Source organism: Homo sapiens, chromosome 6 (genome assembly GCF_000001405.40).
Source record: "Homo sapiens chromosome 6, GRCh38.p14 Primary Assembly".
NCBI lineage: Eukaryota > Metazoa > Chordata > Mammalia > Primates > Hominidae > Homo > Homo sapiens.
Window position 1 is genome coordinate 85,909,846 of NC_000006.12, and position 21,925 is coordinate 85,931,770.

At 38.9% G+C, this 21,925-nt stretch overlaps 1 long non-coding RNA gene across 1 annotated transcript in view, besides 1 other annotated feature; it reads left to right on the forward strand.

Annotated features, from left to right (window-relative positions):
* The first annotated feature begins 514 nt into the window (after window positions 1-514).
* The window catches only part of LOC101928842 (uncharacterized), an 88,319-nt gene continuing 66,908 nt past the window's right edge, over window positions 515-21,925 (forward strand). Inside the window, exons 1-4 of the long non-coding RNA XR_002956361.1 lie at window positions 515-919; window positions 2,617-2,755; window positions 4,196-5,200; window positions 6,289-6,451. This is a non-coding gene — a long non-coding RNA (uncharacterized LOC101928842). The remainder of the gene's footprint in view (window positions 920-2,616; window positions 2,756-4,195; window positions 5,201-6,288; window positions 6,452-21,925) is intronic.
* Window positions 667-1,277: an enhancer, noted in NCBI's record as "H3K27ac-H3K4me1 hESC enhancer chr6:86620230-86620840 (GRCh37/hg19 assembly coordinates)". NCBI's record gives its function as "activates a minimal SCP1, AML or CMV promoter by ChIP-STARR-seq in naive H9 embryonic stem cells {active_cell/tissue: H9 hESC(naive)}" and the evidence as "EXISTENCE:reporter gene assay evidence [ECO:0000049][PMID:30033119]".

Below are 21,925 nucleotides of genomic sequence, written 5' to 3' on the forward strand. Positions count from 1 at the left end.
TATTGCAGCACTATTCACAACAGTAAAGACTTGGAACCAACCCAAATGTCCATCAATGATAGAGTGGATTAAGAAAATGTGGCACATATACACCATGGAATACCATGCAGCCATAAAAAAGGATGAGTTCATGTCCTTTGCAGGGACATGGATGAAGCTGGAAACCATCATTCTCAGCAAACTAAGACAGGAACAGAAAACCAAACACCGCATGTTCTCACTCATAGGTGGGAATTAAACAATGAGAACACTTAGACACAAGGCGGGGAACATCACACACTAGAGCCTGTCCTGGGGTGGGAGCATGGGGGAGGGATAGCATTAGGAGAGACACCTGATGTAAATGACGAGTTAATGGGTGCAGCAAACCAACATGGCACATGGATACGTATGTAACAAACCTGCACGTTGTGCACATGTACCGTAGGACTTAAAGTATATTGAAAAAAAAAAAAAAAGAAACATGCCCAAAATATAGTAAGTGACAAAAGACCAAAAAAAAAAAAAAAAAGATTAAAAAAACTCGCATTTTCAAGTAGGGTGACTATCATCTTTCATTTTTGCACTTGTTCTCTTTTCAGGGTATTTTCAAATATATTATGTCAAATATAGCACGGAATGTAAATTTTAAATAAGAAAAAAGAACTGGTGATTTTTGCTGTGTTAGTCTGCTTGGACTGTGGTATGGTTTGAATTTGTCTATAAGATCTCATGTTTTGGAAACTTAATCTCCTAACTTGTATGTTTATGGTATTTGGGGGTACGACCTTTAGAAGATAATTAGAATTAGATAAGGTCATCGTGTTGCGGCCCTCATGATTGAACTGGTGGCTTTATAAGAAGAAAAGAAAGGGGAATGGCCAAGATGGCTGAGTAGAAACAGCGCCTATCTGCAGCTCCCACTGAGACGAACAAAAAGGTGAGTGATTTCTGCATTGCCAACTGAGGAACCCAGGTTTTTTCTTTGGAACTGATTAGGCAGTTGGTGCAACCCACGGGGAGCAAGGGAAAGCAGGATGAGGTGACAGCTTCACCTGGCAGCTGCACGTTGCAAAGGGACCTTCCTTTCCCCAGCCAAGGGAGGAGGTGAGGGAATGTGCTGCCTACCCGGGGCACGATGCTTTTCCCATGGATTTTTGCAACGCGTGGGTCAAGAGATTCCCTCGTGAGCCTACACTACCAGGGCCTTGGGCCCCAAGCACAAAACTGGGCAGACTCATGGCATAGCTGCTCTGTTGGGCGTCTGTTTGGGCAGGCACTGAGCTGCAGGAGTTTTTACATAATCTGGCGGCTCCCAGAACTCCAGAGGCAGAAGATCTGTCCATTCTTGTGTAAAGGGGCCTGAGGCCAGGGAGCCAAGCAGCCTTGCTCAGCGGGTCTCACTCCCATGGATCCCCGCCAGCTAAGACCTACTGGCTTGGAATCCCGGCTGGCCAGTACAGCAGCCTGGAGTCTGCCTAAGATGACTGAGTCTCTGGCGGGAGAAGCGACCGCCATTACTGCAGCTCTAGTCGGTGGTTTCTCCCTGCCAGGGCTAGGGAGCCTGGGTGGTTTGGACTAGGCAGTATTCCCCCACAGCACAGCACAGCACAGTGGCTGTGGCAGATTGTGGCCAGACTGCTTCTGTAGGTGGGACCTGGATCCATCTTCCTCACTGGGCAGGGCTATATTTGAAGATGAGGCCTCTAGGAGTGTAATTAAGGTTAAATTAGGTCAAAATTATTAGCTTCCGTATAGGAAAAGACACTAGAAAGTGTTTCTCATTCACCTGCCTTGTGAAAACACAGTTAGAAGGCTGCTGTCTGCAAGCTACAAAGAGGACCCTCACTAAAAACCAACCCTGCCAGACCTTTACCTTCTAGCTTCTGGAACTAAAAGACAATAAATTTCTATTGTTTAACTCCACTGGGAGTTAAGGCTTCAGCATATAAATTCTGGGGGGACACACAAACATTGAATCTGCAGCAGTTACTTAAGAGTACAATTTTTAAGCACCAATGGTAGGTCATCTCCTTCTGTATAATAAAAAAGAAGAGGGAATGATCAACTGCAGACGAAGGACAAAGGCACTGTTCCTTCCTTTTTTCTACTTTTCTGAGCTCTGATTTTATTTACCATAGCTTTAGGTTAATAGGAAAAACTACAGTTTTTACTTAAAATATCAAAAGTTCATGTTAGTGCTCTTTTTCTCTCTCTATAAAATACTGAACAATTTCAATCTTGTAATAAACACACTAATTATGTATAAGCAATGGGGCAGATAGGCCAAATTAACAGTTTACTACCATCCTCTTAATTACTATACCTGGGAGATAGTTATTATGTCTTTTTAAAGGCGCATCCTGGTACAGGCAGTGAGTTAAGCACTTTCTACGCACCTTACCCAATTTAATTCTAACAACTACCCTCCCAGACAGAATTATAAGCTATCTACAACATTTTCTGGTTATGGAGGAAAATGAGATATTAAAATCAGATCATTTTTAGAGGTGTTGGAAATAGTGTTGAGATGCACATGTGTGCAATGGTTTAGTGTATAATTGTCTGGAATTGGGGTATTGATCATTTCAAGTAATCTTCAATTCTATCTTATCCTCTCCTGCCTGTTATACTTAGGATTTTTTGGGAGGTATCTTGCGTCTGTTGAGAGATGGCTTCAGGAGGAAGCTATATATGTATATGACTTTAAGGAAGAAATTAGTTGGAATGCAGGTATCTAAAATCTACCTTCTTCTTGGGAAGGCCGACTCTTCAGGTAAGTATGATTATCATTGTTAAAATATTTATCAAATGTCACACACTGCTTCAGGGTGCTATAAAAATCTCAGTGTTTAGGACTCCACAACATGGGAGAAAAAAAAAAAAGATTAGAAGCATTCTCCTGCACAGAGGTCCTACAGTAGAGCCACAGAGTTGATCACTATGTTTCTCGATGTTTGCACTTCTAGTTACCATAGTTCCTGGCACAATAAAGATTGCCTGAGAAAGCATATGTTTTGGAAACTGTGACCCTTTTTACTGTGTACTTCTCTAAGCTGCGTAAAATCAGGTGATGAAAAGCAAAAAGAAAATTAGAAAATAAATCCTGAGGGTGGATGAGGAGGTTTATTTCTTTATTTCCTAAGGATTAGCTGTAGTCTCTGTTGTTGTTGCCTTCCTTTTCAAAACTGTAACAAATATAGTCAGCTGATGAAATTCTTAGAGGGTCTTTAAAGACTCTTTAATGGAAAAACAACGCCTGTGTTTCTAGGATGCCTAAGTGGAAAATCAGCACCTGCTGCTTAGGGAATTGAGAAACATTTAAAGGTTAGCTGTTTCATTACATAGCAATCTGAATCATTGGCTATACATTTTCAGTCGAACACCCATGATGCTTTACAATGCCAGGCATGCTAGCCATTTAGCAATTATATTATGGTCACAACTATTTCATGTAGAGCTCAGCTCTAAAGAAAATGATGAAATCAGAACAAAAGAAAGGCACATTTGGGATTTCTGGTCCAATTGAATTAAAACATGTCAATGTTTGATGGCAGCATAGTACCTCTTCTGCATTTTACCTTCTATAGAAAGAGAAGACCTTATGTAGATCCATTTTATGCATTTATTCCTCAGGTATTTTTGAATTTTTAATGTGTGTTGGGTGTTGCTCTGGGAGTTTGGATTAAAAGACTCGAAGTCTCTGCTTTCATTGAGTTTACATTCTAGCAGAGGATGCAGAAGTTAAAAACAAGACAAAAAGTAGGGCCAGGAGCCTCCCAGCACTTTGGGAGGCTGAGGTGGGCGGATCACTTGAGGTCAGGAGTTCGAGACCAGCCTGGCCAACATGGTGAAACCCCGTCTCTACTAAAAATACAAAAAATAGCCGGGCGTGATGGTGGGTGCCTGCAATCCCAGCTACTTGGGAGGCTGAGGCAGGAGAATCACTTGAACCTGGGAGGCGGAGGTTGCAGTGAGCCGAGATTGCGCCACTGCACTCCAGCCTGTGCAATAGAGTCAGACTCCATTAAAAAAAAAATAAGACAAAAAGTAAACAAGATAATTACAGATAGTGAAGTGCCACTCGCCTTGAAGGTAATAAAACAGTATAGTCTGATAAGGGTGCATCATTTATGATGATTTTTGTTAAAATTTTAAAAAAAAGACACCCTCAGTCAATGAACTGGTGCCTATATCTGTCTCTCACCACCTCCAGGTCTTTAACTTGGATGATATAAGTGACCTCCAGGAAAAGTTAGTGCCCTTCACCCTCCTTCCCCATGGCCCCCACAGCCTAGAGCCCAGGGCCTAGTATTCACAGAGGCTTAGTGAAGATTCTGGCAAAAGCTGAAGGAGCTGCAAGCTGTTCAACACCACCAAGTTGAGACAGTGGAGCAACAACAAGTATGTAAGAAATGCAACAGTGCCTGATCATACACCAGTCTTCTGGATGTAAACATGGCTACTGCTTTATTTCTGCTTTTTAAATCTCACATAAATGTTGCATGTGGCCAGCCCTAATCTGAAACCATACAAGGAAGGGAATTTTGGGAAATGTAGCTCCAGCTTAGCTAAATTGACATAATACTAGGTTACCACACTGCCCCATCTCTCCGACATTGCCCACCACTCCAATCACACCAACATGTTTCTGTTCTTGGAATTTCCACCTCAGAGCCTGTGTACTTGGTACTACTTCTGCTGGAAGTGAAGAAGTATTTCCCCAGATATCTCCTTACATAGCTTTTTCTTATCATTCACTTTTCCACCTTCATATTACCTCTTTCCCCTATATAAAGTATTTCTTGCTCCTCATTGCTCTCTAAAGTGAACGTTTTTAGTGGCTTGGCCAGCATCAATTCCTCCCCTCTCTTCTTACTAATAGTAGGCAGATCTTTTTTTCAGGCACCCTTTCCCATGCAGCCCCTCTCTCCCTGCTCTGGTGCCTGCATCGGTCTCTCACCACATCCAGGTCCCCAACTGGCTTAAATGAATCAGAAGATTTTATTCCTGGCCTCAGTCATTGATACAGGCATGAACACAAGACCTAAGCTAATGAATCCAGTCCCTTTTACTAGAATGCTCTGATGGAAGCCTTGCTGAACATGAACTAAGATGCATTGGACCCTGACTGCTGACAAACATCCTCCAACCCTGAGAACATCAGCCCTAAGTTGAAGCCACCATTTATGGACTGAAGGATAGAAAAGAGACACATTAGGTCAGCTGCTCTGCTGGCTCAACTGGGTGGTGTGGGACAGCTTGCAGCTCCTTTAGCTCCTGCCAGAATCTTTCCTAAGCCTCTCTGAATACTGTGCTGTGTGTGCGTTTGTGTACGTGTTCATGTGTATGTGTATGTGGTGAAGGGCACTAGATTTTCCTGCAGGTCACTCATATAATCCAAGCTGAAAGCTTAGAGGTGGTGGGAGAGAGATGCATGTACCAGTTAATCTGTTGGTATTCAGCTTGTTCTTTGGGGTCCAGCTTGTTCTTTGGGGTTCCTGTTAGTTCCTGCTCTCCTCCAGTTGTCTTTTCTTCCAGATTACCTGTTTTGCTAACTCTAGCTGGGCACCAGATGTAGAGGCAACAACCTTATATAGACTGTTTACCTTCTATAATTGCCTAAGGTCAAACTCCTATAGTAAGTCTTGATCAAACCTAAACTGACACAGAATTTAGTACAGGAAGTAGTTCTAGAGGAATGGAAGCTTAAGGAAGCATTCTCTGAGTGAGTTCTAGGTTCTCTGAGTTGGTTCTGGATTCTCTGAAATCAGTTCTCTCTTCAGATTAGATTTAGAGGCATAATAATCCTGTTTCCAGTGGTAAAGGACACACTATTAGTTCATAACATGCAGAGGTAAAACACTTAACTTACATCACCATCTGTAGACACCTGTAATTTAATGCCTATAGAAGGCAAGTCCTTAGGTGACTCACCATTCCCTGCCATAGAACATTTAAATGAAAACAAGGAGTGTAATGGGTTTGGGTAGTTGATTCTACAAGTAGAAAGAAAATGATGAGCTCAGGGCTTCAAATTCCTGGAAACTTCTATAACTGTTCTAAAAACACACTTATCTCCTATAGCTGCAGGACTGATTTCTGAAAAGAAAACCTAAAGTCTGAGCTCAGGAGGGGCTGATTGACAGGATAATCTGGGTTTCTAATTTCTCTAGGTCTTTTGTATTAATGTTAGGACATTGATTGGAAAGGAGTGGTACCCTGAAAATTAGGATAAGGAAATATGAGTACATTTTGATGAAACTGAAGATCTCCAACTTCTAAATTATGCTGCATTTTTCTTGCCAGTAGGAGCAACCCTTCTTCTCCTACCTGAGAATATTAGATTCTCTCCTGCCTCTACTGATGTATTTACAAGGGACTGATTATCCTCATCAGGAGCTTCTCCCAAATACCTGCCATCGCTTCTAGACCTATTACTAAACTGAAGTTGCAGGCTCCAGAGAGCAAGGTAAAAAGTGTTACCCAAATGGAAGTGTGATATATACTAAAATATTTGCAGTATTTTGCCAATTTGTATAAACAGAAATCTGGGAAACATGTGGGAGTAGATCTTGAAGGTGTTGAATCGGGGTAGAACAAATATAATGCTGGCCTGGGCTGAATTTATTAATATGGGTTCACTAGTTCAGATTCTGGGTTCAATATATCAGCTTGAGCATTTGGGAGTGGCTCTTATTTGGCTTGATTGTGACCAAAACCTGAATCCAAAGGCAATATATACTAAATGAAGGTGAAAAACTAAAACTTTCCTGATATGCTGCGGAAGAGGGTATCCAAAGACTCAGAAGATTTGGAATGCTGAGTGGATTTATCCTGTAAGCTCTGCTCACCTACCTCTTTTTTTTTTTTTTTTTTTTTTTTGAGATGGAGTCTTGCTCTGTCACCCAGGCTGGAGTGCAGTGGCACGATCTCAGCTCACTGCAAGTTCCGCCTCCCTGGTTCACGCCATTCTCCTGCCTCAGCCTCCCGAGTAGCTGGGAATACAGGCACCCGCCACCACACCTGGCTAATTTTTTGTATTTTTTAGTAGAGACGGGGTTTCACCATGTTAGCCAGGATGGTCTCGATCTCCTGACCTCGTGATCCACCTGCCTCGGCCTCTCAAAGTGCTGGGATTACAGGCGTGAGCTACCGCGCCCAGCCTCACCTACCTCTTAAACATGTGCTTTGAGAGGGTCCAGAGGACAATTCTTTCACCAAGGTGGTGGAAGATAAACTTGTGAGGGGAGCTTCAGCATCATTGAAGACTTCTGCGGTGCTTATTCTTTGTAGGCCAGGAATAGTGGACCTGCCAATCAACTTGGCTTCCTTATTCATGGCTATGATGGAAAGGAGTGGCAGGGACCAGGATGAGTCATTGAATCTCCAGAATTAAGGTGGGGGTGGTTATCATAATGGGCAACAAAAGGAAGTAATAATCAAAACAGTTTAACCCACAGAGATTTTTTGGCATTGACTGATTGATCATGAATTACCTAAAACTGAAATAGATAGGGAGCCTTTAAAGTCTTTCTGGATTTATTGATGCTGAGAAGCTCTAGGTCTGGTGGATAGAAGTCTGACTTGAATCATCACAATACAGAGTTGCAGTTCCCAATCAATTCCCAGATTTGAGCCAGCTCATGACCTACAGTTCTGTAAATGGAAGAGAGGCCATTTACCTTGAGAAAAGACCCTGCTTCATGCCAAAAATTTGTACTGAAAATCTTCCTCCTACTCTTCCCCAAGTGGACCTGCAGCCATTTTCCAAGTTGACTGTGCATTGGGGAAAGGGGACTAATGAAACTTTCTGGATATTACTGGATACTCACTGCTGATACTAATTTCTATAGACCCAAAATACTACTGGGTCCACCAGTCAGAGTAAGACCAGTTTTAGCTCAGGTTTTTCTCATAGTGAGTCAGGTGGGTCTCAGAAACCACTGTGTGGTTTATTTCTTCAGTTCCAGAATGCAGAGTTAGGTCAGAGATACTTGGCGCCTGGAAGAATCTCTACATTGATTCCCTACTCCATGGAATTAAGGCTATTATGGTGGGAAAGGCCAAGTAGAAGCCATTAGAACTGTCTCTACCTACCAATAGTAAGCCACTGTTTCTGTAAAAGGTATAGACATTATCACAATAATCAAGGGCTTAAGAATGCAGGACAGTCATTCCTACAGCATCCTCCTTCAAACTGCTATTTGGTCCTGTACAGAAGATAATGGGTCTTGGAGAATAATGCCAAATTATCGTAAATGTAACCAATTACAACTGCTATTCCAAATATGATTTCACGGCTGGAGCTATCAAGAATTGTGAAGTGTCTGAGGTTTTACTATATTTGCAAGGTAATAAGTTAGCATACTATAGTTTTATACATGCTGGCAGATGATATGAGACTCCTTCATCAGAGACTGTAGCCTTTGTATGATTCACATCACAGCAAACAGCATGAGTTTCATGTTTGCATTGGTTCTCCTTGCTTCAAAAGTCTCATAAAGCAATGTGGAGGACCCTGGGTGAAATCTGAACATTCAGTGGATTTATGTTAGAGCTGAGGATCCCTAAGCTTAGGGAACCTTGACCTTTTAAAAGTATTGCTGGTAAACCTGTCCAATGTTTTCTCTGGAAGAAGACATTTTCTTTACTATCTTATACAACAAACAAATCTGTGCTCTTTCTCAGAGGGAGACACTATTTCTATCTTCCAAGGTGTTTTGCTAAGCAAACTTTTTTTAAAAAATTTTTATTTATTTTATTTTAAGTTACAGGATACTTGTGCAGGACGTGCAGGTTTGTTACACAGATAAACATGTGCCATAGTGGTTTGCTGCACCTATCAACCCATCACCTAGGTATTAAGCCCAGCATGCATTAGCTATTTATTCTGATGCTCTCCCTCCCCCTACCCCACCCCCTGACAGGCCGTGGTTTGTGTCATTCCCCTCCCTGTATCCATGTGTTCTCATTGTTCAGCTCCCATTTATAAATGAGAACACGCAGTGTTTGGTTTTCTGTTCCTGAGTTAGTTTTCTGAGGATAATGGCTTCCAGCTCCATCCGTGTCTCTACAAAGGACATAATCTCATTTCTTTTTATGGCTGCATAGTATTCCATGGTGTATACGTGCCACATTTTCTTTATCCAGTCTATCATTGATGGGCATTTAGGTTGATTCCATGTCTTTGCTATTGTACATAGCAAATATGTGTGCATGTATCTTTATAATAGAATGATTTATATTCCTTTGCATATATACCCAGTAATGGGATTGCTGGGTCAAATGGTATTTCTGGTTCTAGATCCTAGAGGAATTGCCACACTGTCTTCAACAGTGGTTGAACTAACTTACACTCCCACTGACAGTGTAAAAGTGTTCCTGTTTCTCCACAGCCTCACCAGCATCTGTCGTTTCTTGACTTTTTAATCACTATTCTGACTGATGTTAAATGGTATCTCATTGTGGTTTTGATTTGCATTTCTCTAATGGTCAATGATGTTGAGCTTTTATTTGTGTGTTTGTTGGCCACATGTATGTCTTCTTTTGAGAAGTACCTGTCCATGTCCTTTGCCCACTTTTTGATGGGGTTGCTTGCTTTTTTCTTGCAAATTTGCTTAAGTTCCTTGTAGATTCTGGATATTAGACCTTTGTCAGATGGATAGATTGCAAAATTTTTCTCCCATTCCATAGGTTATCTGTTCACTCTGATATAGTTTCTTTAGCTGTGCAGAAGCTCTTTAGTTTATTCAGGTATCGTTTGCCAGTTTTTGCTTTTGTTGCAATTGCTTTTGATGTTTTTAAGCAAACATTCTTGAAAAGATAGTGCATAACAAAACGTAATACATAATGTGTAGAAATGTGAGCGATCCCTAGAGAATTGTCTCTCAACAGGAGCAAATCAACACATATCACCTGACACATGGCACATAGCAATTGAACTGATGGATGCCTTTTTCCCTATATTTGTTAGTAAAGACAATTAAGAGCAATTGCATTCAGATGGTGTGAAGGTAAATTTTATCTGTCATCTTGGCTAGGCTACTGCCCAGTTATTTTGTCAACCACTAGTAAAGATGTTGCTGTGAAGCTATTTTATAAACATGGCAAACATTTGCAATCAGTTGATTTCAAGTACAGAAGATTACCTTTCATGAAATGGGTGCATTCCATACAATCAGTTGAAGTCCTTAAGAACAAGAATTGAGGTTTCTTGGAAAATAAGGAATTCTGTCTCAATTCTGTAATGTAAAAACACTGCCAGTTTCCCACCTGCTGGTCTGCCCTGCAGATTTAAGATTCAAGACTGCAACGCCAACTCTTACCTAAATTTCCAACCTGTAATCTTGCCCTATAGATAGACTTTCCAGCTCCCAAAGTCTCATAATTTTAAATTATTGTATGATAGTTAGTATTATCTGTACTCTGGAAGTTATTTATGTATACTGTATCTGTATAATGGAACTACTACATATTGATGTGCAACCGCCTACCTCTTCTTAACTCTGTGTTCAGTGATATCACATTTGCTGGGATAAAACTGGCCATGGTGGGAGTATTAATACCATAGAAACTAGCAAAATCTATGTAAGGGCTTTTTCCCCTTTGGAGAACTGGTTGCTAAACATTTATCAGTGAACCACTTCTTATAGCTCAGTGTTTAAATTACAGAATATCAAAGGGAGAGTGTGACTCAGCTACGAGAAGAATAAATACTACCCCAAAATATACAAAGAAATTTTATAGACCCTTGAGAAGTTTAACATATTTTCAGTTTTACAAAGGATAGTTGCATTATATGAGGCAGAAGCATAATTTATTTTTATTTGGAAATTAGGTATGGTTAAAAGAAGTATGGTTGGGCCACATTGATAAGAGTGGTTAGTGGTGGCTTTATACTTTGTTAACCTAGCTAAGCTGGAACTACATTTACAAGAATTCCCTTTCCCATATAGTTCTGTTTAGGGTTGGTGACAAGAAAAATTTGCATGAGATTTGGGAGGCATAAGTAAAGCATCAGTTGCATTTGTGTTCAGATGTTTTGTGTTCAGTCAGGTTCTGCTGCAGTTCACACACATTGTCTCTGCTCCAGTTCACACACATTGTCTCTGCTCTGTTGGCTCACATTAGTGGCATGGGACGGCAGCCAAGCCTACAGCTACTTCAACTGCTGATGAAACACCTTATTTAGCTCCTCCTAATCCTATGCCAGGTATGTGGCCTAAATCTATGACAAAGAGTGTTAGCTTCCTCTGCAAGTCACCCACAATGTTGAAATTGAGGCCTGAATGTAGCAAAAGATAGATCCAAGTTTTAGTTCATATTCATGAGCTTCAGCTCATCCTTTCAGGTTTCAGTTCATTCTTGCTCTCCCCACTTCACATTTCCCATTCATCCTTCTTTCCAGTCCAGCATCAGATATAGAAGCAACATCCTTATATAGAATCGTTACTAGCTCTCACAATTGCTAGGGGCTCAATATCAAACCCTTATGATAAACTTTATTCTATATCACTTATAGTGGATCTCTTTTCTGATTGAATCCTGATACAGGGAGGCAATTAGGGTTTGAACTAATAGGCCATGATAAAGAGTGTGGATTTTATTCTTAATGCATTAAGAATCTTTTGGATAGTTTTTGGCAGCATGCAGTAATGTGAATGAATTGAGGACAGTCATAGGTATAAGCAAGTTGAGCAGTTCTATATCAATAGTCTAAATGAGAAATGGTAGTAAATTGGACTAGGAAGATGGTAGTGTAGCTAGAAAGAAATGGATATATTAATACATTATTTGAGGTAGGGATAGTATGACTAGCTGATGAATTGGATTTGGGTGATAAGGTAAAGAAAAGAATCAAGAATGACCTCTAGGTTTTCAGCTTGAGCAAGTAGGTGGATAATAATGCCATTCATTAGCTCTAAAAGACTGGAGGAAAACAGACAGAAAGTTCTGTTTTGGAATTGTTAAATCTGAGAAGCATATTTGAGATCTGTGTAGTCAATAAGATATAAGAAATCTGGATCATGAGAGAGTTCAGTGCTGAAAATACAAATCTGGAAATTTTCAGCATAGATATGTGAAGTCTAGAAATTGGATAAAGTCATTCAGGGAGAAAGTGAATAAATATTATGATTCAGTTATGGCATAATAATTGAGTAGAGAGCATTAGCTTATTTTTTTAACAGTTCGCCATGCACTCATAGGTCACTGGTGATTAAACAAGACAATTCCAAGTACCCTTCCACCCACATTATAATTCTTTGACTTTCAGAATAAATATTGAATGATATAAGGTGATGATAATGGTAACTCCAATATAAATAACCATTATTAATATTAATTAACTTTATAAGAGAAACAATCGTGATATAATTGATGTTATTCACTCTTCCTTGCCTTATTAGAAAGGTATGTGATACGGCTTACATAGATAGAAGTACATTAAGCATCAAATTATAACAGCCAGGGACTATTAGAGTTTCTGGTTTTTGTCCTGGGAATAAAGGCAATGTGTGTTTGTTTGAAAAGCTGTCCTAAAGTTGACTTAGAAAAAAATACCAGCTTACTCTTGTTTACTGTCTACAGAAGCAATTCACTTCATGCCAGTTGTTAGTCTTGGGTGAATGGGCAAGTTGCTCTTTCCATTTCTGCACTAAGATTATAAAAATGTAGCACCACTTGAAACCAGTCCTGTAGCTTCTTGTATTCAATGACAGACTTAGGGATAAGTATAAAAGCAATTACTGGGGGGACCAGAATCTTGACTTTCCGTTTTGGCATTGGAATGATTATATATCATCGAGGAGATGCAATGTAGTGAGGCTTTGGAGTCAGAGTTCTGGGTGAAAATTTTGGGTCTATTACCATTTGGTTGTGTGACCTTAGGGTAAGTTGTCCATCCCCTTTGAGTCCCAGTTTCTTCACCAAAATGAGAATAACAATAACTAACTTCTAGAAATATTTTACTAAACAAAATACTGTGCCTAGTACACTCTTTGCAAATACTCAAGGTTCACCAGCTATCATTTATTGTTCATGTTTAGCCAGTTATATCTATTCTGTTTAAGTCTCTGATCTTCCATCATACCTCAAATCCCACAGATGACCTTCTCTTCTTCCTCCTTCTCCTCTTCCTCCTCTTCTCCTCCCGCCCCCTTCTTCATCTCCTTGAGGCATGTGTTAGTTATCTATTTGTTGCCTCTCAGTTTTAGATCTATCCTTCATTGCCCTGCTTGTGATTCTGAAGCATGTTTTCATTATCAGCTGGCACAATGTTAAATTTTGTCACTAGAGGGCACTGGATGTATGCTGGAGGATGAAAGGGCTTTTCTTCTGGTTCCTAGTGTGCTCTGCGCGATTGCTATTGCAGTGCATGAGTCAGGAGCATATAGGACAATTGGCTGATACTTACTTCCCCATGGGCAGCATTCCCTAGCACCCCAGGGGATTGCTTCCTATTGGGCCACCCCTATGGGTAGTTTCTCAGTGAGCTCTGCAGCATGGCATCTTTCTGTGGGCAGCTTCACCTAGCAACCAAGGAAGTAGTTTCCCAGCTCACCATCTCTGTGGGAGGCTTTGCAGTGAGTTCTGAGGTACAACACCTTGTTGAGGGCTTCCTTCAGCATCCCAGAAGGCAGCTTCTCAGTAAGTTCTACCAGCATGGCATCTGCATGAACTTCCACACAGGTGGATGGTGTCCTTCCCAGTGAAAGTTTGGATTTCAGCTCTGGAGGCCTCTTCTGTATTTGATGCATGCCTAGGTGCTGTGCTTCAGTGCTAGAGGTATTGATTGCTATGTATGTTTTCTATGTATTTATCCTTTAAGCTTGTCTTTATCTATTAGTAGGTAATTCCCGTTTATAGTTAATAATTTTTTATATTAAACTTCCCCTGTTCAAATTACTGTGTGGTTCTGTCTCCTGATCGGAATCTGATAGATATAAGATACAACTTACATGCAATGAAATGCTCAGATCTTAAGTGAACTCTTCCCTTTCACTCAGTACAATGTTGAGATTCATCCCTGTTGCATGCATATCTATGTCTCTATTATCTATCTATCTAATTATCTATTTATAATCTATTTTTCCTTTATATTACCAACTAGTATTTCATTGTATAACTGTATCACATTTTGCTGATCCATTCACCTGTTGATGGACATCAGGGTTGTTTCTAGTTTTTGGCTATTATATGTAAAGTTGCCATGAAACTTCTTGTGGAATCTTTTTGCTGTCATAAGATTTCATTTCCCTTAAACAAATACCTAGGAGTAGAACTTCTGGGATGTGGGGGGTGATGTATGTTTCATTTTTTTACGGAACTTCCAGTTTTTCAAAGTGGTTGCATCGTTATATTCTCCTATCATGAATGTCTGAGATCCTGGTTGCTCTGTGTCCTCTTCAATATGTTGTGTTTTCACAGCTCTTCTTTGAGACAGCAAGGGCTGATAACCCAGATTAGATGAAAGCTGGTGTGCTGTCCTTGGCCTGCTTGCTCTCAGATTTGTTCTTTGTCTTTTCACATTCCTCATGACCGTTCTGCAGTCTATTCTTTGGGAATGATTACCTACTTACAACTCTACTATTTTATAACTTTACCATCCTCTATGCTCCAACCACTTTTCTTTTTTATTTTTCTATTATAACTTTTATTTTTTAATTTTTAATTTTAAATATTTTTTATTATTTTATTTCAATAGGTTTTTGGGGAACAGTTGGTGCTTCGTTACACGAATAAATTATTTGATGGTGATTCTGAGATTTCGGTGTACCCATTACCCAAGCAGTGTACACTGTAGCCAATGTGCAGTATTTTATCCCTCCTCCCTCCCACAACCCTTTCCCGCATAGTCCCCAAAGTCCATTGTATCATTCTTATGCCTTTGCATCCTCATAACTTAGCTCCCACTTATGAGTGAGATCATACAATGTTTGGTTTCCCATTCTTGAGTTACTTCACTTAGAATAATGGTCTCCAATTCCATCCAGGTCGCTGCAAATGCCATTATTTCATTCCTTTTTATGGCTGAGTAGTATTCCATGGTATACATACATGCCACATTTTCTTTATTCACTCGTTGATTGATGGGCATTTGGGCTGGTACCACATTTTTGCAATTGCAGATTTTGTGGCTATAAATATGCATATGCAAGTATCTTTTTCGTATAATGTCTTCTTTTCCTCTGGGGAGATACCTAGTAGTGAGATTGCTAGATCAAATGGTAGTTCTACTTTTAGTTCTTTAAGGAATCTCCACACTGTCTTCCATAGTGGTTGTACTAGTTTACATTCCCACCAACAGTGTAGAAGTGTTCCCTTTTCATCACATCCATGCCAACATCGATTATTTTTTGATTTTTTGATTATGGCCATTCTTGTAGGAGTAAGGTGGTAGTGCGTTGTGGTTTTGCATTTCCCTGATCATTAGTGATATTGAGCATTTTTTCATATGCTTGTTGGTCTTTCGTATATCTTTTGTTGAGAGTTGTCGATTCATGTATTTAGCCCACTTTTTGATGGGGTTGTTTACTTTTTTCTTGCTAATTGGTTTGAGTCCCTTGTAGATTCCGGATATTAGTCTTTTGACGGATGTATAGATTGTGAAGATTTTCTCTCATTCTGTGGGTTGTCTGTTTACTCTGCTGACCATTTCTTTTGCTGTGCAAACATTCTTTAGTTTAATTAAGTCCCACCTATTTAGCTTTGTTTTTTGTTGCATTTGCTTTTGGGTTCTTGGTCATGAAATTTTTGCCTAAGCCAATGTCTATAAGGGTTTTCCTGATGTTACATTCTTGAATTTTTATAGTTTCAGGTCTTAGATTTAAGTCCTTGATTTATCTTGAATTGATTTTTGTGTAAGATGGGAGATGAGGATCCAGTTACATTCTTCTACATGTGGCTTGCCAATTATCACAGCACCATTTGTCGAATAGGGTGCCTTTTTTCCACTTTATTTTTTTGTTTGCTTTGTCAAAGATCAGTTGGCTGTAAGTATGTGGGTTTATTTCTGGGTTCTCTATTCTCTTCCACTGGTCTGTGTGTCTATTTTTATACCAGTACCATGCTGTTTTGGTGACTATGGCCTTATTGTATAGTTTGAAGTCGGGCAATGTAATGCCTCCAGATTTGTTCTTTTTGCTTAGTCTTGCTTTGGCTATGCAGGCTCTTTTTTGGTTCCACATGAATTTTAGAATTGCTTTTTTCTAGTTCTGTGAAGAATGATAGTGGTATTTTGATGGGAATTGCATTGAATTTGTAGATTGCTTTTGGCAGTATGGTCATTTTCACAATACTGATTTGACTTATCCACAAGCATGGGATGTGTTTCCATTTGTTTGTGTCATCTATAATTTTTTTCAGCGATGTTTATTGCATTCTACATTATTATAGTGATTTGTAACTATGTCCCTGTTTCTCTTCTGCTAGAGTGTCAGCTCTTTGACAGCATGGACTATGGTTTATTTATTTTAGTTTTCTACAATGTATGATGTGGGACATTGCAAATATTAAGTGTTCAATTCATGTTTGTTGACACCTATTCATATGCTTAAAACAATTTGGATTCATAGTGACCCTCTCCTTTAGATGCTTGGACTGAAATTGTAAGATAATACATGTGTGTTATATTTTATTTTAATTTTATGGATACATAGTAGGTGTATAGATTTATGGGATACATGAGATATTTTGATACAGGCATACAATGTGTCATAATCACACAAGGTAAATGGGATATCTGTCAGCTCAAGCTTTTTTTTTTCTTTTCTTTTTTTTTATACTTTAAGTTTTAGGGTACATGTGCACAACGTGCAGGTTAGTTACATATGTATACATGTGCCATGTTGGTGTGCTGCACCCATTAACCCTTCATTTAACATTAGGTATATCGCCTAATGTTATCCCTCCCCCCCTCCCCCCACCCCACAACAGGTCCCAGTGTGTGATGTTCCCCTTCCTGTGCCCATGTGTTCTCATTGTTCAATTCCCACCTACGAGTGAGAACATGCGGTGTTTGGTTTTTTGTCCTTGCGATAGTTTGCTGAGAACGATGGTTTCCAGCTTCATCCATGTCCTTACAAAGGACAGGAACTCATCATTTTTTATGGCTGCATAATATTCCATGGTGTATATGTGCCACATTTTCTTAATCTAGTCTATCATTGTTGGACATTTGGGTTGGTTCCAAGTCTTTGCTATTGTGAATAGTGCTGCAATAAACATACGTGTGCATGTGTCTTTGTAGCAGCATGTTTTGTAATCCTTTGGGTATATGCCCAGTAATGGGATGGCTGGGTCAAATGGTATTTCTAGTTCTAGATCCCTGAGGAATCGCCACACTGACTTCCACAATGGTTGAACTAGTTTACAGTCCCACCAGCAGTGTAAAAGTGTAAAAGTGTTCCTATTTCTCCACATCCTCTCCAGCACCTGTTGTTTCCTGACTTTTTAATGATCACCATTCTAACTGGTGTAAGATGGTATCTCATTGTGGTTTTGATTTTGCATTTCTCTGATGGCCAGCATTTTTTCATGTGTCTTTTGGCTGCATAAATGTCTTCTTTTGAGAAGTGTCTGTTCATATCCTTCACCCACTTTTTGATGGGGTTGTTTGATTTTTTCTTGTAAATTTGTTTGAGTTCATTGTAGATTCTGGATATTAGCCCTTTGTTAGATGAGTAGGTTGCAAAAATTTTCTCCCATTCTGTAGGTTGCCTGTTCACTCTGATGGTAGTTTCTTTTGCTGTGCAGAAGCTCTTTAGTTTAATGAGATCCCAATTGTCAATTTTGGCTTTTGTTGCCATTGCTTTTGGTGTTTTAGACATGAAGTCCTTGCCCATGCCTATGTCCTGAATGGTATTGCCTAGATTTTCTTCTAGGGTTTTTATGGTTTTAGGTCTAACATTTAAGTCTTTAATCCATCTTGAATTAATTTTTGTATAAGGTGTAAGGAAGGGATCCAGTTTCAGCTTTCTACATATGGCTCAAGCTTTTATTGTGTGGGTGTGTGTGTGTTACAAACATTCCAATTATATTCTTTTCGTTATTTAAAAATGTACAATAAGTTATTACTGACTTTAGTCACCCTGTTGTACTAGCAAATATTAGATCTTATTTATTCTATTGAACTCTATTTTTGTACCCATTAACCATCCCCACTCTCCTACTCCCACTCCCCTTCCTAGCCTCTGGTAAACATAGTTCTACTCTTTATCTCCATGAGTTGAATTATGGTTATTGTTTTAGCTCCTGCAAATAAATGAGAACCTGTAAAGTTTGTCTTTCTGTGCCTGGCTTATTTCACTGAACATAATGACCTCCAGTTTCATCTATGCTGTTGTAAATGACAGAATCTCATTCTTTTCTATGGCTGAATAGTACTTTATTGTGTATATGTACCATATTTTCTTTTTCAATTCATCTATTGATGGACACTTAGGTTGCTTCCAAATATAGGCTATTGTGAATAGTGCTGTAGTTAACATGGGAGTGCAGATATCTCTTTGATATACTGATTTCCTTTCCTTTGGATATGTACCCAGCAGTGGGATTGCTGGATCATATAATAGCTCTATTTATTGATTTTGAGGAACTTCCAAACTGTTCTTTGACTAATTGACATTCCCCACAAGAATTTAGGAAGATTCTCATTTCTCCACATTCTTGTCAGCATTTGTTGTTGCCTGTCTTTTGGATAAAAGCCATTTTAACTTGGGTGAGATGATATCTCATTGCGGTTTTGATTTGCATTTCTCTGAAGATCAATGATGTTGATCTTTGCATATGCCTGTTTGCCATTTATATATCTTCTTTCGAGGAATGTCTATTCAAATCTTTTGCCCATTTTTGATCAGATTATTAGATTTTTTTCCTATAGAGTTGTTTGAACTCCTTATGTATTCTAGTTATTAATCCCTTGTCAGCTGACTAGTTTGCAAATATTTTCTCCCATTTTATGGGTTGTCTCTTCACTTTATTGATTGTTTCCTTTGCTATGCAGAAGCTTTTTAACTTGATGTGATCCCATTTGTCCATTTTTGCTTTGGTTGCCTGTGCTTATGGTACATTACTCAAGAAATCTTTACCCGTTCCAATGTCCTGGGAAGTTTTCCCAAAGTTTTCTTTGATCACATTCATAGTTTGAGGTCTTATATTTAAGTTCTTAATCCGTTTTGATTTGCTTTTCATATATGGTTTCGTTCTTCTGCATATGGATACCCAATTTTCCCAGCACCATTTTTTGAAGAGACTGTCCTTTTCCCAATGTATGTTATTGGTATCTTTGTTGAAAATAAATTCACTGTAGGTGTATGGATTTGTTTCTGAGTTCTCTATTCTGTTCCACTGGTCTACATGTCTGTTTTTATGCCAGTATCTTGCTGTTTTGGTTACTATAGCTCCGTAGTGTAATTTGAAGTCAGGTAATGTGATTCCTTCGGTTTTGTTCTTTTTGCTCAGGATAGCTTTGTCTGTTCTGGGTCTATTGTGGTTCCATACACATTTTGGGATTGCTTTTTTCTATTTCTGTGAACAATGTCATTGGTATTTTGATAGGAATTGCATTGAATCTGTAGATTTCTTTGGATAGTATGGATATTTTAACAATATTGAGTCTTCCAATCCATGAACATGGAATATCTTTCCTTTTTTTTTTTTTGGTGTCTTCTTTAATTTCTTGCATCAATGTTTTGTAGTTTTCATTATAGGGATCTTTCACTTCTTTGGTTAAGTTTATTCCTAGGTATTTAATTTTATTTATAGATATTGTAAATGCAATTACTTTCTTGATTTCTATTTCAGATTGTTTGCCATTGGCATATAGAAATGCCACTGATTTTTGTATGTTGATTTTGAATCCTGCAACTTTTCGGAATTTGTTTATCAGTTCTAATAGTTTTTTTGGTGGAGTCTTTAGGTTTTTCTAAATATAAAATCATATTACTTGCAAACAAGGATAATTTGACTTCATCCTTCCCAGTTTGGATGTGCTTTATTTCTTTCTCTTGTATGATTGCTCTAGGTAGGACTTCCAGTACTATGTTGAATAACAGTGGCAAAAGTGGGCATTCTTATTGTGTTCCCAATCTTTCAGTTTTTCCCCATTCAGTATGATACTGACTATGAGTCTGCTGTATATGGGTTTTCTTATGTTGAGGTATGTTCCATCTAACTCTAGTTTTTAGAGTTTTCTTTTTAAATCATAAAGCGATGTTAAATTTTGTCAAATCCTTTTCAACATCAGTTGCAATGATCTTACGTTTTTTGTCCTTCATTCTGTTGATATGATGTGTCACACTGATTGATTTGCATATGTTGAACCAAGGATGGTTCAATGTGTTACATTTATCCCTTGCATCCCTGGGATAAATCCCACTTGGTCACAATGAATGATCTTTTTAATATGTTGTTGAATTCAGTTTGCTAGTATTTGTTGAGGATTTTTTGCATCAGTACTCATCAGGGATACTGGCCTGTAGTTTTATTTTTAAATGTGTCTTTGTCTGCTTTTATTATCAGGATAATACTTGCCTTGTAGAATGAGTTTGGAAGTATTCCCTTCCCCTCTATTTTTTGGGATAGTTTGAATAGGACTGGTATTAGTTCTTCTTCATTCCTTGCTAAAATTCAGCAGTGAAGCCATTGGGTCCCAGACTCATATATGTTATTTTAAGCTGCTAAATTTGTGGTAATGTTACTCAGCAATAGATAACTAATACAATCTGTAACAGGCTCTGTTCCCTTTCTGCTTTTAGGTTAGGTTAATTGAATGATCTAGGATTATCAACGGTGGCTCAATACCATGCTCTTATCAATGGAGCTTGAGCTTGATCATGCAAAAATACCCCAGGGATTCATAGTCAAGTAGCATAGGTGCTTGAAAGTAATTAAATAAGCAAATTTATTAGATTTTATATTCAGAATATAAATGTATTCATACAAAGGACAGGAACTCATCCTTTTTCTATGGCTGCATAGTATTCCATGGTGTATATGTGCCACATTTTCTTAATCCAGTCTATCATTGTTGGACATTTGGGTTGGTTCTAAGTCTTTGCAATTCTGAATAGTGCCACAATAAACATATGTGTGCATGTGTCTTTATAGCACCATGATTTATAAACCTTTGGGTATATACCCAGTAATGGGATGGCTGGGTCAAATGGTACTTCTAGTTCTAGATCCCTGAGGAATCACCACACCGACTTCCACAATGGCTGAACTAGTTTACAGTCCCACCAACAGTGTAAAAGTGTTCCTATTTCTCCACATCCTCTCCAGCACCTGTTGTTTCCTGACTTTTTAATGATTGCCATTCTAACTGGTGTGAGATGGTATCTCATTGTGGTTTTGATATGCATTTCTCTGATGGCCAGTGATGATGAGCATTTTTTCATGTGTTTTTTGGCTGCACAAATGTCTTCTCTTGAGAAGTGTCTGTTCATATGTTTTGCCCACTTTTTGATGGGGTTGTTTGTTTTTTTCTTGTAAATTTGTTGGAGTTCATTGTAGATTCTGGATACAAGCCCTTTGTCAGATGAGTAGGTGGCAAAAATTTTCTCCCATTCTGTAGGTTGCCTGTTCACTGTGATGGTAGTTTCTTTTGCTGTGCAGAAGCTCTTTAGTTTAATGAGATCCCAATTGTCAATTTTGGCTTTTGTTGCCATTGCTTTTGGTGTTTTAGACATGAAGTCCTTGCCCATGCCTATGTCCTGAATGGTATTGCATAGGTTTTCTTCTAGGGTTTTTATGGTTTTAGGTCTAACATTTACGTCTTTAATCCATCTTGAATTAATTTTTGTATAAGGTGTAAGGAAGGGATCCAGTTTCAGCTTTCTATATATGGCTAGCCAGTTTTCCCAGCACCATTTATTAAATAGGGAATCCTTTCCCCATTGCTTATTTTTCTCAGGTTTGTCAAAGATCAGATAGTTGTGGATAT